Genomic DNA, 13,394 nt, shown 5'->3' with positions numbered 1-13,394 from the left:
TGAAGCTGTGTGAATATTTTTCATGCCTAAGGACAAAATAGCAGAGAAGGAATATTGCTCAACTAGATGAGATTAAAGGCCATGGTGAAATGGCTGTTGTTCCGGGCTGAACTGAGTCTCATCCCCCAAAATTCATATGTTGAAATCTTAACCCCCAATACTTCAGAATGTGACTGTATTTGGAGATGGGGTCTTCACAAAGGTTAAAAAGAGGCCAACAGAGTGGGTCTAAATCAATATGACTATTATCTTTATATAAAGAGGAAATTTGGACACAGACAGAGGGAGGATGTTGTAAAGACATAGGGAGACAGTGGCCATCTACAAGCCAAGGACAGTGTCCTGGAACAGATCCTTTGCTCATTGCCCTGAAGGAACTAACACTGCCAACATCTTGATCTCAGACTTCCAGCCTCCAGAATTGTGAGGCAATACATTTCCATTGTTCTAGCCACCCAGTCCATGGCACTTCCTTATGGTATCCCTAGCAAACTAGTAGAGAATTCTAAATAGAACCCTGGGCAGCCAAATGAACAGTTGCCCTGCGGACTAGCCTCAGTCTAGTCTGAACACTCCCTCCTGGAAGGATTTTCAACTCTTTAGCCCCACCTAATCACTTCTTGTCCTTATGAGCAGTCAAGAGCCCTGCCATAGCCTTCCAGTGCCCAGCCCATAGCCTAGATAGATGACAGAGAAGAGCCTTGACAAGTCTCACCTACTTCACAGCACCTTGCAATAGATACCTTTACAATGGAAATTCTCTGGCAAAGGTAACTGCAGGCCTTTAAAAAACACTGAACAGAAAAGGCAACATGAAACTCCTGCTTCCCAGGGAGCTGAAAATCTGGCCCATTTTCAGCACCCAGCATCACACCCCGATCCCCACTTCTGTGATGCAGAGGTGTGGTCCCTGACTTCCATGCATCCCAAAGGGAGACTGGCAGGAGCAGCAGGGTACATGCTGACCCGCAGAACACAGTCCCACACAGCATTGCTGCCACCAGACAAAGTGATTCACAGAATCAGAGGTTCAGAGGAGACATCCAGATTGCAGACTTCGGTTTGTGTGAGCCCCTTTGTTGAGGAAGACAGTAACTTTAGATTTCTGGAGTGATTATCTTCTATCAGAGGTAACTGGGAGCTCATATACAACAGGAGTGTGGATCTGGGATGCTCTGGGATATGGTGCTATGAGTGAATTGTGGGAACCCCACCTGTGGAGAATACCTCAAGCCATGAGGCCTTCTGGAGCATCGCTGTGGTAGACTAGAGGTTTCCCCATCACTGCTTCTGAGCCCCAGACTTTGTCCTCAATCCCCTTGCAGAGGCAGACCAAGCAGGCAGGTTTGGAGGCTCCTGGGATGAAGCCCACTCTGAGAGTGCCGGCCCTAAGCTCTTCAGCCTGTGGCTTGAACTCCCACAGCACATGAGAGAGCTAATGCCTGACTCCATCATTTTATCAGCCTCCCCCAGCATTTGGCTCTTTAAAGAAAAGATGAAAAGACTGTGTTTCAGCATGAGATGCAAACCACATTAATGAGTCACTCTGCTCTATTGTTCATATAGGGCAGCCTGCATCCATCAGAGAGTTTGAGTCCTTTTAAATGAGCATAATATGTCACAAAGCAGGCCCAAATAATCACCAAAGAATCAATATCATCTAAATAAAATGTAATAAAACTAGAAATCAATAACAAAAATTATTTTAATATACATTTGGACATGTAAAAACACCCCCTCCATTTTTTTACAATAGGACAAGCCCATCCCATGTGCCTGTGGTATTTTTACCAGCCCATTACAAAGAGAAACTCCTTGGCACAATTCCTCATGGACACATATTGCTGAAGCTTGTTCAAGATTTTTAAAAATTTTTTATATTCAGGTAAAAGAATATAAATTATCATCTTTACCTTTTTTAAGTGTACAGTTCAGTGGTAATAAATACATGTATATTCTTTTCTCCCCTTCATTCCCAACTCCTTCCCCCTTCTCAGCCTCTGAGAGCCACAATCTACTACTCTCTATCATCATGAATCCACTTTTTTAGCTCCTACATATGTGTGAAAATGTGATATTTGTCTTCCTGTGCTTGGCTTATTTCACTTAACATAATGGCCTCCAGTTCCATCCATGTTGCTGCAAATGGCAGGATTTCCTTCTTTTTAAAGGCTGAATAGTATTCCTTTGTGTATGTATACCACATCTTCTTTTTTTTTATTCATTCATTAGTTGATGGGCTCTTAGGTTGGTTCTATATCTTGGCTATTGTGAACAGTGCTGAAATAAACGTGAGAGTGCAGATATCTCTTTGATATACTGACTTCCTTTCCTTTCTTTTGGATATATACCCAGTAGTGGAATTGCTGGATCATATGGAAGTTCTATCTTTAGTTTTCTGAGGAGCCTCCATCGTATTCTCCATAGTGGCTATACTAATTTACACTCCTACCAACAGAAAAACACCCTTTTAACCTTTTAAGGAATGTATGGGTTAAAGAATAATCACAATGAAAAGTACAGAATATTAAAAACTAAACGACAATAAAACCAGCACATATCAAAACTTGCAAAGAGTGGCTAAAACAGCACTTGGGTTGTTAAAATAATTCTTTGGGAAGCCATTAGACTGAGGAAGCTCTAGTGGTTGAGTTCCTACAGAAGCTCACCACACCCCAACTCATAGTGAAGAGCTGTGTCCTAGGAAACTGAGGCTTAAGCTTTACCACTCAGAAGCTTCCAACTAACCTCTGACTAGGGACCTTAAGGTACTGCTCCACTTTAATCAATCAAATATTTTCTTTGCCTTGCTTCATTCATAGGCACCTTATAAAATTTATTCTTCACATCCCTTTGGTGGAGCCCTGAGCCACTTGCAGTGTGAAGCAGCCCAAACCATAAATCACTGTTTGTTCAAATAAACTATTTAAAATTTTAATGTGCCTAAGTTTACCTTTTAATAGGGAAAAATGTGTAACTTACATGCAAATGTTGGTGGGGGAGGGGAGAAGGGAAAGACTTAGATTAGATAAGCTAATATTTTAACTCAGAAAAGAATACCACAGTAATTCCAAATAAAATATAGGGAAAGAAATATAAAGGTAATAGTTGAAATTGAAGAAATAGAAAATAAGGAAATATGAGCAACATTGGTAGCAACTTAGTCATTACAATTTCTCAGGCTTTGCAAAGTTGCCTGGGATATCTTTGACTCTTTCCTATCTCTCACATCCCACATACAATTGGTAAGTTCTGTTGGCTTGACCATCAGAATGAAATATTCAGAATCTAACCCTTCTCACCACCTTGGCCTAAGCCACCATCATCTCTCACAGCCACTGCCATAGCCTGCAACTGCATTTCTTGCCCTCTCTTTTGGCCCCTTCAGTCTATTTGCAACACAGCAGTCACGATTTTTTTTTTTAAGTCAGTCAAGTCATGTTACATCTCTGTGCAAAAGTCTCCAAGCCTTTTCTCTCAGATTGAAACCTGAAGTCCTAACAATGGACTGTAAGGCCCTAACTGAGCTAATCCACCCCACTCCAAGAGTCCTTTGCCTTATGCTACAATCACTCACTATTGCAGCCAGTAGTTCTCCTTGCCCTTCCTCACTCTAGATGGCTTCCTGCCTGAGGGTCTTTGCCCGGCTGTTCCTTCTGCCTGGAATGCATTTCCCTTATGTATCTACATGGCAGTTCCTTCCCCTCCTTCAAGTCTTTGCTTGTCAAGTGCTCTCTTGTCTACTCTCACATCCTATTTCAGTTGTAACCTGCTTGTGTTCCTCACTTCATTTCTCTCAATCATCCTTACCCTGGTCTATTTATTTGTTAGCAATCATCACCTTCTAATCTACTATGGAATTTGCCAAGTTATTATACTTATTTTCTATTAGTGGTCAGTCCACATTAGAATGTACTTTTGAACAAAGCAGGGATTTTTAAAATCCATTTTGTTCACTCTACTGCCTAAAATAGTACCTGTCACACACAAAGAGCCAGTACCCAAAACTGGCTCTTTGAAAAGAATAATGAGCTAGATGTACTTTTGATAAGACAGAGTAACAGAACAAAGGGAAGTTAAAAGTAAACAATATCAGGAATAAAAAAGGTATATAAATACAGACAGTAGATTTCCTTACACCATAAAAAAGTTTATATCCACCCCAAAACTGAAAATACTGATATTTTGCTAGAAAATGGATCATTTCCTAGAAAAACGTAACTTACCAAAACTTAGTCAAGAAAGGAAAAACAGAAAATCAAATGTAAAACTATAGCATAAAGGAATTGAAACACTAGTTTCAAAACTATCCCTCAGAAAAGTCTAAGAGGCCTGAGAGTTTCACAGAGGAATTCTATTGATCCCTAGCTTACACATGCTGTTCCAGGAATAGAAAATGGGAGACAGGATTCCAGTTCATTCTATGAGAATATCCGAAGTACCAAAAGTGCAAAGGACAGGGGAGAAGGAAAAACTAAAGGCTACTTTCATTTATAAACATAAACAGAAATCTAAGATAAAATATCAGCAAATCTAAATCCATCCAGGATAACAAGACCACAAAGTACATCATGGCCCAGCAAGGTTTGCTGGGCCAATTCTTTGCAAAGAATTAAAGGCTGTTTTAACATTAAAAAAAGTATTAATATAATTCACGTATGAACAAACTAAAGAAGAAAAACCATATGCTCATCTCAACGGATGAGCAGAAAAAAAGAACACTTGACAAAATTCAACCCTCTTTAACATAAGAAAGGATATCTCCTAAAAGCCTACAGTAAGGATTAGATTTACTGGGAAATATTAGAAGTATTCCATTTAGAACAGGGAACAGATAAGAAATGTCTGCTATCACTGCTTCTATTAAATATTGTGCTAGAGGACCTAGTCCTAACCACTGAAACAAGACAATGCAATGGGATAAAAGTTATAAAGTTTGAAAAGGGAGAGAAGAAAATTGCCAGTATTTGAAGCTGATAAATAGGGAAGCATATTCAGATACTGCCTCTACCTAGCCACCACTCCAACCAAAGAACAGTGACACATGAGTATCTGGCCAGGCTGACCAGAGATTTATAAACAATAGAAATGAGGGGTGCAGAATGAAATACTGGCTTGTCTGAGTCTGAAAATAGCCTATAGTTTTCTATTCTTGAGTCTTTGACACTGAAGAAGTGTTAGAGAAGGGTGAGTAAGGCCTGGTAACACCCATGTTTCCATAATGGAAAGTGACTCTCAGGCATATATGACAGAGCTCCCTTCACCCGCCTGGGCTGCTCATGGTTCCCATGGGTGGCCTCTGTGATCTGCAAATGCTGGAAATGTGCTACTCTGCACTCCCACCTGCACCTGTCTCAGGTGTGTTCTGTAGATCGGTATCCCCCATGGGCTTTTGTTTCGTAGAAGTGTTATTTTGCTAAAACAGTTTTGATTCTGTGGCCTGGACCAAGAAGGGAAGGGTGTTCTGGCAGTGACAGAGTTGGCACAAAACCACATCAGACACTTTGTTATCAAATGTGGAGATGACAGAGGAGCCATCGGTGCATGTGTCGGGAAGCAGGCACCCTCCTCCAGGCTCCTCGGGAAGACACTGCAGGAGGGGAGGAGGGCGGAGGCCCCCTCCCAATAGCTGACTTGAGGGTGGCTCTGCCACGCATGCAGGGTGCAGCACCACCTTCAGGCCCAGGCTGGCCTTACAGAGGCTGGTGTCACAGGCTGCTTCTGCCACCAGCTCAGCACTATGGGCCACTGAACTTCCTGCCACCCCCTTGAGCCCTGGGCTCCCCACAGACAGAGCTGTGCTATCAGATGACCTGTGGATTGAGGCATCAGCAGCCAGGAGTGTCTCTGAAATGGGCCACCCTCTGGAACCCTTCTTTGGCTGAATTGTTTCAGGATGAGTGTCATTTAATCAATCTGCCTAACGTCAGGAAGTAGAGATGAGGACTGCAGCCCGCTCAATTTCTTTCTTCTCAGTTACCAAGGCTTTTGGCTTATTGAATGTGTCCTGTGTGCCTGGGCCTGGGTGAGGCTCTGGGGATTCAAGGATGAAGAAGACGCCAGCCATAACTGCCCTTTGGGAGCTCAAAGTCTAGCGGAGAAAGGGAAAATAAGCAGGCCCCACAGCAAATAGGGATGTAAGATCTGTGACCAGGAAACATAGGTACTGAGAGAACACAAAGAAAGACCACCTACCCCAGATGGAGGAAGACTTGTGCATCCACCTGGAGGAGAGGACGCCTGAGCCAGCCTGGAAGCTCAAGGGCCAGGTTGATCAAGGAGCTCAACAATCTAAAGCTCCACAGTCCAAGGAAAAACTAGGTGTGACTGGGGTTGTCATGAAAGATTGTGTGGGTACACAGCCAGGAAAGTGAGTGGAGGCTGAACTTCCAAGAGGCCCATGTGGGTCAGCTACTGCCCTTGTGTGACAGCAGGCACCTGGATACCTCCTGAACCTCCTCCCTCCCGATCATTTGAGCTCTTCCTTTCCTTTACCTTGAGCTCTCTGCATCCGGCATCTTCTTTCTGTCCACCTACTTCATCTAGGCTGTCTGAAGTCAATTACATCCTTTTTCCTTTTCCCTTTGGCATATTTCTATCCCTCCCAGCCACACACACACACACACGCACACACACTTCTATCTCTGCCTATCCATCAACTCACTTAATTTCTGAGACAGCACTACTAAAAGTAAGAATAAGGAACATTAACTTAATAAATATTGTTGCTGTTGACAGTGAAACACTCAGTTAAGGTGGGAAAGGAAGAGAAGCGGATGGGAAATAGAGAATGCCTCACTGGGTAAGTGTGAAAAGAAAGACACCAGAGACAAACAAAGGCAAGAAGACCAGGCAAGGAAATACCCAGGCCCTGCTAACATGTTATTATAAGCCCACTTCCTGCCCAGAGCATCTAGAATGATTCCCACATATGTGGCTGGAACCTGATCAGCTTCTGCGCTGACCCTAACCCTGCTATCTGGTTCAGAATTTCTGAGCTTCTCTTATCTGTGTGACAGAGGCCCCAGGCTTACCGACAGATGAGCTTCCAAAAAGAGTTTGATGCCAATTTGCTATAGTCCTCCCACTCCTCAACCTTCAAATCAGGACAACTAGCAAATGCCTTCCAGCCCCTAAGGAGGCCTGGGGCTCCTGAGCAGGGACAAAGTGGGCCTGCCAAGCCCACTTCTCAGAACGGGACCCACAGCTCTCCTAGGTGATACCTCCCACCTTCTCTCCAAGGTGGCTCATGACAGCCCTGTTCCCTCCACTTCCATCAGCCTAGACAACAATTTGCTAATAATAAAATCACAAAGGAATAAGCAACTGCAAAAGTCAGGCCCTGTGCACAGATGATCCCATTCAGTCCTTACAGCATTCCTATCTGGTAAGGATCATCTCTAGCTACAGGTAAAGAAAGCCACTTCCTCAAGGTCACATAGCTACAAAGAAACAGAGCCAGGATTCCAGTCTGGGTTAGCCCGACCCAGACAGAGCCTATTCCCCATCAGCTCAGCCCATTGCCTCCTCTAAGCATCAATGTCTGCAATATTCACTGGACATCTGCTCTATACAGAGCACAGCACTAACTATGCTAAAAGAGACAGAAGCCTCAAATCCTCACCTTTTAGGGACAACTAATTGAGGTAGGAGAAAGCACATACAGAGCTCAACAGCACCTCTGAAAAACCACCCATGAGTGCAAGGAGAGCATGCAGTCACCCAGTGGAACTTTGTAGCAGGGAGGGGTGCTGAGCAGAAAAAGAATGAGTACAAGGGAGATAGGAATACAGAAGCCCCCTTGAAAGATGCAAAGAACAGAAATCAATCCAAAGGTGATGTGAGCAACCCCAGGCAGAAGCAATGACATATTCTAGAGCCAGGGAATGAGAATTAAATGTCCAGCGGAGAAGACAGAAAAGCAGCCTGCTATTGTGAGTAGAGGGAGGGGATTTTTCTAAGGGTGACCTCACCATAGTGAGAAGGAGTCTTCTGAGAACTTCTGAGAACCCAAAGTAGAGCAGGTTAATTTTCTGTTAGGCAAGAGGGATCAGTGGGTCAGTTCTTTACTGGGGGAAAGGTAAATGCAAATTGGCATCTGAGGGAAGTTTTCCCAGGGGCATCTGAGGTTAGCAGGGACTAGTTCCCATCACCCAGCCAGGATGACAAACCACTTGAGTTAGGTTGCTGGATTAGAAAGGACATCTAACAATCTCAGTGACAAAATCATTATTAGTTTGGAAAACCTAAATTTTAAAATTAAATATATCTTGGAATGGTGGATATTTATGGGGTGAAAAATGAATATCTTAGAATTAACCAAATTTTATTTTCTTACAGTTGGTCCTGGCTTGTGCAAGGTGAGAAAGGGTTTTTTTATGTGGGCTTTAGAAAAATGAGTCGGATAACCAGGGAAAGTTCAGGTTTTGTGACCTGTTTACCATCATTCCGATTATGATAAAAGGGGTTTTTTTCCCCTACTGTTTTAAATTCACCTCAGAAGAGGCAAAAGGCTTTTAGGGGATCTTCCAAAAGTTAGTACTGCATAAGTAGTTGGAGAAATATGATCACTGACTGAAATAAGTTCCTCCCAAGGCCTGAGCCCTGGCTTACCTGAACTTCCAACGCTGAGCCACAAAATGAGGCCCCCCACCCAGAAGCAGCTCTCCCAGGGACCTGGGGGCATCGCTGAGCTGGAAATCTCAGAGCTGGTATGGAGTAATTCCCTAAAGCCAAAGAGATCATATAACCCAGCCTCTCAGAAAACACCCACGTGGATTTCACTAATCATTAACTAGCCTCATGACCTGAAAAGGAAAAATAAATTCTTCTTTATTTATTTAAATGCCAGAGTTTTCGGTTTCTTCTTCTCAATGAAAATAAATACACTTTCTTTTTTGTTAACCAGAGTGCATTGAAACACACTGTCCCTCTTTGAGCCAAACATGATCAGGAAACTATTTCCTGCACCTCTCCCACTTCCCGTGATAGGATGTTAGTAATAACCAAGGCAGAAGTCCTGCATCTCTGGGTGGCCAGAAACCCCTCATTGTGTTGGAATTATCTGTGGACATGTGTGTCTCCCTAGAAGATTCTGAGTGACTTGAGAGCAAAGGCTTTCTCTTTTCATTTTTGAATACCCAGTGCCTAGCACAAGACTGAGATAATACTATATATTAAGTGTCCATTTAAAGGGAAGAAGGGAAGAAAAAGTTTCCTCTGGAGAGTACTATCATTTTGTAGAATCTTGGGGCTAGGAGTCAAGTCCAACTTTGGAGATGTTCAACTTCCTGAATTCACAAAGAAACTGCATATTAGAAAAAGAAAATGACCTGTAGAGATCCCGTTGGTGGAAGTGGCAGAGCCGGGCCTGGAACCAAGATGGTTCCAGCACCATATGGCCTCTCCACCCCAAAGAGTGGCAGAAACCACAAAGAGCTATTTCTAGGCAAGTCAATGGGGCAGAGGCAGAGGGCAGGGCACTTGCCCCCCACTCCCTAAATCATAACACATTGCTGTGAGGTAGACAGCCCACTGGCAGGGCCAGGATCATCTTTTCCAAACAATAACTCTCTGAGGTGAGTATTATCACAGAGAAGTTAAGTAATTTGTACAACAAATTACTTATTTGTATTATAATTGTATACAAATTACTTAACTGTGACAATTACACAGTTAGTAAGCACAGATAAGTACAAATTACTTCTCTGTGATAGAAGTAATTTGTATTAAATACAAACATTTGTGTTTTACACAGCTGGTAGGGCACAGAGAATTTAAGTCATTTGCCTGAGGTCATGCAGAGCTGGGATTTAAAGCGGGATGAGCCAGCCCCAGAATCCATGCTCTGAGCAACGATACTCTACAGCAACAACTCCTGAAGAGGCTCTGGGACCATGTCATCATGGCTGAACGCAGGATACAATTATTTTGGAGGGGCTAGCCCTTACATCCCCTTGTGCACATGATCTCACTGCTCAAGTGCTGCTGCAACCAGGAAGGGGTGTGGCAATAAGTAGTGCACAGCAGAGGTCACTACTGAAAGCTGTCTTGATATTAGAGACCAAGCCAAGTGTATGAGTTCAGGTCCTCGGAGAAGAAGATGCCAAGGTAAGACAAGATATGCAAGAGATTTATCGAGCTAACACCTGTAAAGAATAAGAGGTACTAGAGAAGCCAGGAAGCGCCTTTAGATGGTGGTGAACATCTGATACCTGTGAAAGAGAATGGGCAGGAAAGAGAGGATTACATAGGAAGAGTCTCAGGCTGCAGCACAGTTTCTAGAATATTCTGACCAGGCCAATGGGGACTCCTCAGGCCAAAGTCTTTTGTGACAGCAGATGTGTTTTGTAGAAATGAGCCTGCATTAGCAGCCACATCTTGCTTAGTCATTAGCTGAGGTCAGCCTCAGCACAAAGACAGAGGTAGATTCAGAAGACAGCAGCTGGAGCCATCAGTCAATCATTTTCCCTACAGCAGGAGAACTGAGGGCTGTTTTCCTAGCCACCCACACCGTGGCCAGAGATAGTTAATCCAGGGTGCCCTTGTGCATGGCATGAATACAGCTGACATTGAGAGAGCACTTTCACTTTCTTTCACATCCAACATCTAGCACAGAGCTCTCCAAGCGGGGTCAGAGTGGTCCCTTCCAGAACCCCCTGCCTCACAACCATCCAATTGACTTGGGACAGATTGCTGGATCCACCCCAGACACACAGAATGAGAATCTTTGGAACTGGGCCCAGGACTCTGCAGTTCCAGCAGGCTCCTCGGGTGATCGTACGCATGCTAGAACCACTAGTCTTCTGTTAATACTTACAATAGCCATGTCCATTTCACCAGTGGAGAAACTGAAGCTCAGATAGGCCAGGGGCTAGGGACACTGCTTGAGAGGGCCAAGGCGAAACAAGATATGCAAGAGTTTTATTGGACTAAACCTCGTCCTTCTGAAAAGTGAGATTACATATTTTAGAAGGTGAGGATGAGACCCTCCTACCTGGAGACACTGAGAGAGCCACAATTCATATTCAGTGTATGCTGTCCATCTCCCCCAAGGAGAATGTCAGCCTCAGAAGGGCAGAGTCCTGGCCTGTTTTGCTCACTGAGATATCCCAGTATGTAACACAGTACTTGCTACACAGCCAGTGGTCAATAAGTATTTGCCAGGGGAAGGCATTGTTCAACTGGTAGGGTGTGCTGGTTAGTTCCCACCCCTCTTTTAGAAAGGGGGTCCTACTCACCCATTGTAAGGTGGAGACAGATGGTTTTATTTGCCTAGGATCTGGGTACACAATGAGCAAGGGACCAGGGCATCAATGTTCAAAATTCTGAAATGCAGTGGTGTAATAATGGCTCACCACAGCCTCACTTCTTGAGCTCAAGCAATCCTCCTGCCTCAACCTCCTGAGTAGCTGAGACTATAGGTGCACACTACCACACCCAGCTAATTTTATTTATTTATTTATTTATTTATTTATTTATTTATTTATTTATTTATTTTTGAGACAGGGTCTTGCTCTATCAACCAGGCTGGAGTGTAGTGGTGTAATCTTGGCTCACTGCAGCCTCGACCTCCTGGCCTCAAGTGATCCTCCCACCTCAGTCTCTCAAATAGCTTGGAGTACAGGCACCTGCCACCATGCCTGGCTAATTTTTTAAAATTATTTTGTAGAGATAGAGGTCTCGCTGTATTGCCCACGCTGATCTCAAACTTCTGGTCTCAAGCAATCTTCCCATCTCAACCTCAAAGCATTGAGATTAGAGGTGTGAGCCACCATATCTGGCCTAACATGTATTTTGTAATAGGTCTACACATATATGCTTTTTTAAAAAATACAAAAACATGGTTAAAAATAAATCTCCATCCCTTTCCCCCAAGTTTCCCAATCCTATAGAAATCAGGCATTGTCATGGTTTTCTTGCTTATCCTCCTAAAGATATTCTATCTCATGCTTTTTAGATTTTTACACCCTTCTTTTGACCTACTACTTTTTTTTTTTTTTTTTTTTTTGACAGTGTCTTGCTCTGTCACCCAGGCTGAAGTGCAGCAGTGCAATCATGGCTCACTGCAGTCTTGGCCTCCTGGGCTCAAGTGATTCTCCCACCTTGGCCTCCCAAGTGGCTGGTACAGGCACACACCACCATGGCCATCTAATTTTTCTTTCTTTCTTTCTCTCTTTCTTTCTTTTCTTTTTTTTTTTTTTAAGAGACAGGGTTTCGCCATGTTGCCCAGGCTGGTCTTGAACTCCTGGGCTGAAGTCATCTTCCCACTTTTGCCTCCCAAAGTGCTCAGATTCTACGTGTGAGCCACCACGCCCAGGCTTACGCAAACTCTTTTGAACCTTGAGTTTCACATTAAACAAAATACTTTGGAGCTGCCTCATTCTTCTTTTAAGGTTGCATAGAATTCCATCAGATAGAATGTGTCATGAAATTTTAGTGCTCAACCCAAAATGGCTTGAAGCCCTTATCCTACCTGATTTTCAGAAAGTCCAATCTTGCCAGATTCCAATTTGAGGTGAAGAGCACGATTATGGAGTCTCTCCACTCCTGCTGTCCTGTATGTCCTGCATGTGAACATGGGTACATGCACGTGCGTGCACGCACACACACTTACCTTCTCAGAACAAGTCATAAAATATAAGTGTAGTGCAAGACAGTTTTCAAGGTCTTGGACTGGGCCCGGTTCTTTCAGCTTTCTGGCTTATAGTTCTCAAGAATAACTGTAGAATGTGCTGGGAATCCAACATCCTGGAATCTGTTCCAGTCCCCCGACTACCCCACACCCCCAAACACGATATCCTTCAATGCTTTAGCTCAGTGATTCTTGTTTCCTTTGAATATAAAACCCAGGGTGGGCTGCCTTCCTGGGGGTCCTCAGTTGTGGTACAAGTGGGCATGTGCAGATGAGGATCCGTGTGCCACAGGCAGCTTTCCTAAGCCTTGGGTACTGGCTCACATGAATTTCAGGCTTCTGTTGTCTGCTGCCTAGCTGTAAGTAATAAGCCAGATTCCTGTAACTCATTGCATGCATAGGTGTTCTGTCTCCCAAGACTCAGACAAATCACAGTGAACCTGCTTTTCACACAGTACGGTCTAAAACCTTATGGAGAAAGAACATTTCATGCCTCTAATATGCCAAACCACATTATTTTAACTTTCATTTAAAAACATCTATATTCTGTCTCTGTTTTTCCAGAAAGAATAAGTAGAGACCAGCTTTATATTAGCCCAGACAAAAAGGTCACTTGTGGTTTTGCCAGAACAGAGATGCTGTGTACCCCGCAGGAGATGCCAAGCCTGCAAGTGTTGAGAAGGCTAAAAATTATTTGTAGCTTTAAAATGACAGTTTGATACTAAAATTCAATGGTTTAGTGTTTATTCCCTGAGATCAC

General features: G+C 43.5%; 1 protein-coding gene across 6 annotated transcripts in view, besides 3 other annotated features; it reads right to left on the bottom strand.

The window, feature by feature from the left end:
- The window catches only part of PLA1A (phospholipase A1 member A), a 31,927-nt gene extending 23,212 nt beyond the window's left edge, over window positions 1-8,715 (bottom strand). For 4 of the 6 annotated variants that reach the window (NR_120610.2, NM_015900.4, NM_001206960.2 and 1 more), the window contains exon 1: window positions 8,614-8,715. Coding sequence is in view for 3 of the 6 variants with exons in the window: in NM_015900.4 (NP_056984.1) it covers window positions 8,614-8,686 (73 nt within the window). In the remaining 3 variants the exon portion in view is untranslated. Of the gene's footprint in view, window positions 1-6,195; window positions 6,330-7,973; window positions 8,034-8,613 lie in introns of those variants that run through there. The other 2 variants (XM_017006572.2, NM_001293225.2) reach the window with 2 other exon arrangements.
- Window positions 5,199-5,698: an enhancer, noted in NCBI's record as "H3K4me1 hESC enhancer chr3:119319749-119320248 (GRCh37/hg19 assembly coordinates)". NCBI's record gives its function as "activates a minimal SCP1, AML or CMV promoter by ChIP-STARR-seq in primed H9 embryonic stem cells {active_cell/tissue: H9 hESC(primed)}" and the evidence as "EXISTENCE:reporter gene assay evidence [ECO:0000049][PMID:30033119]".
- Window positions 5,879-6,018: an enhancer, noted in NCBI's record as "active region_20317". NCBI's record gives its function as "activates an Ori minimal core promoter by ATAC-STARR-seq in GM12878 lymphoblastoid cells {active_cell/tissue: GM12878}" and the evidence as "EXISTENCE:reporter gene assay evidence [ECO:0000049][PMID:35858748]".
- Window positions 7,847-8,036: an enhancer, noted in NCBI's record as "active region_20316". NCBI's record gives its function as "activates an Ori minimal core promoter by ATAC-STARR-seq in GM12878 lymphoblastoid cells {active_cell/tissue: GM12878}" and the evidence as "EXISTENCE:reporter gene assay evidence [ECO:0000049][PMID:35858748]".

Source organism: Homo sapiens, chromosome 3 (genome assembly GCF_000001405.40).
Source record: "Homo sapiens chromosome 3, GRCh38.p14 Primary Assembly".
NCBI lineage: Eukaryota > Metazoa > Chordata > Mammalia > Primates > Hominidae > Homo > Homo sapiens.
Note: the sequence above shows the minus strand (reverse complement) of the source record. Positions and strands in the feature narration are given on the sequence as shown.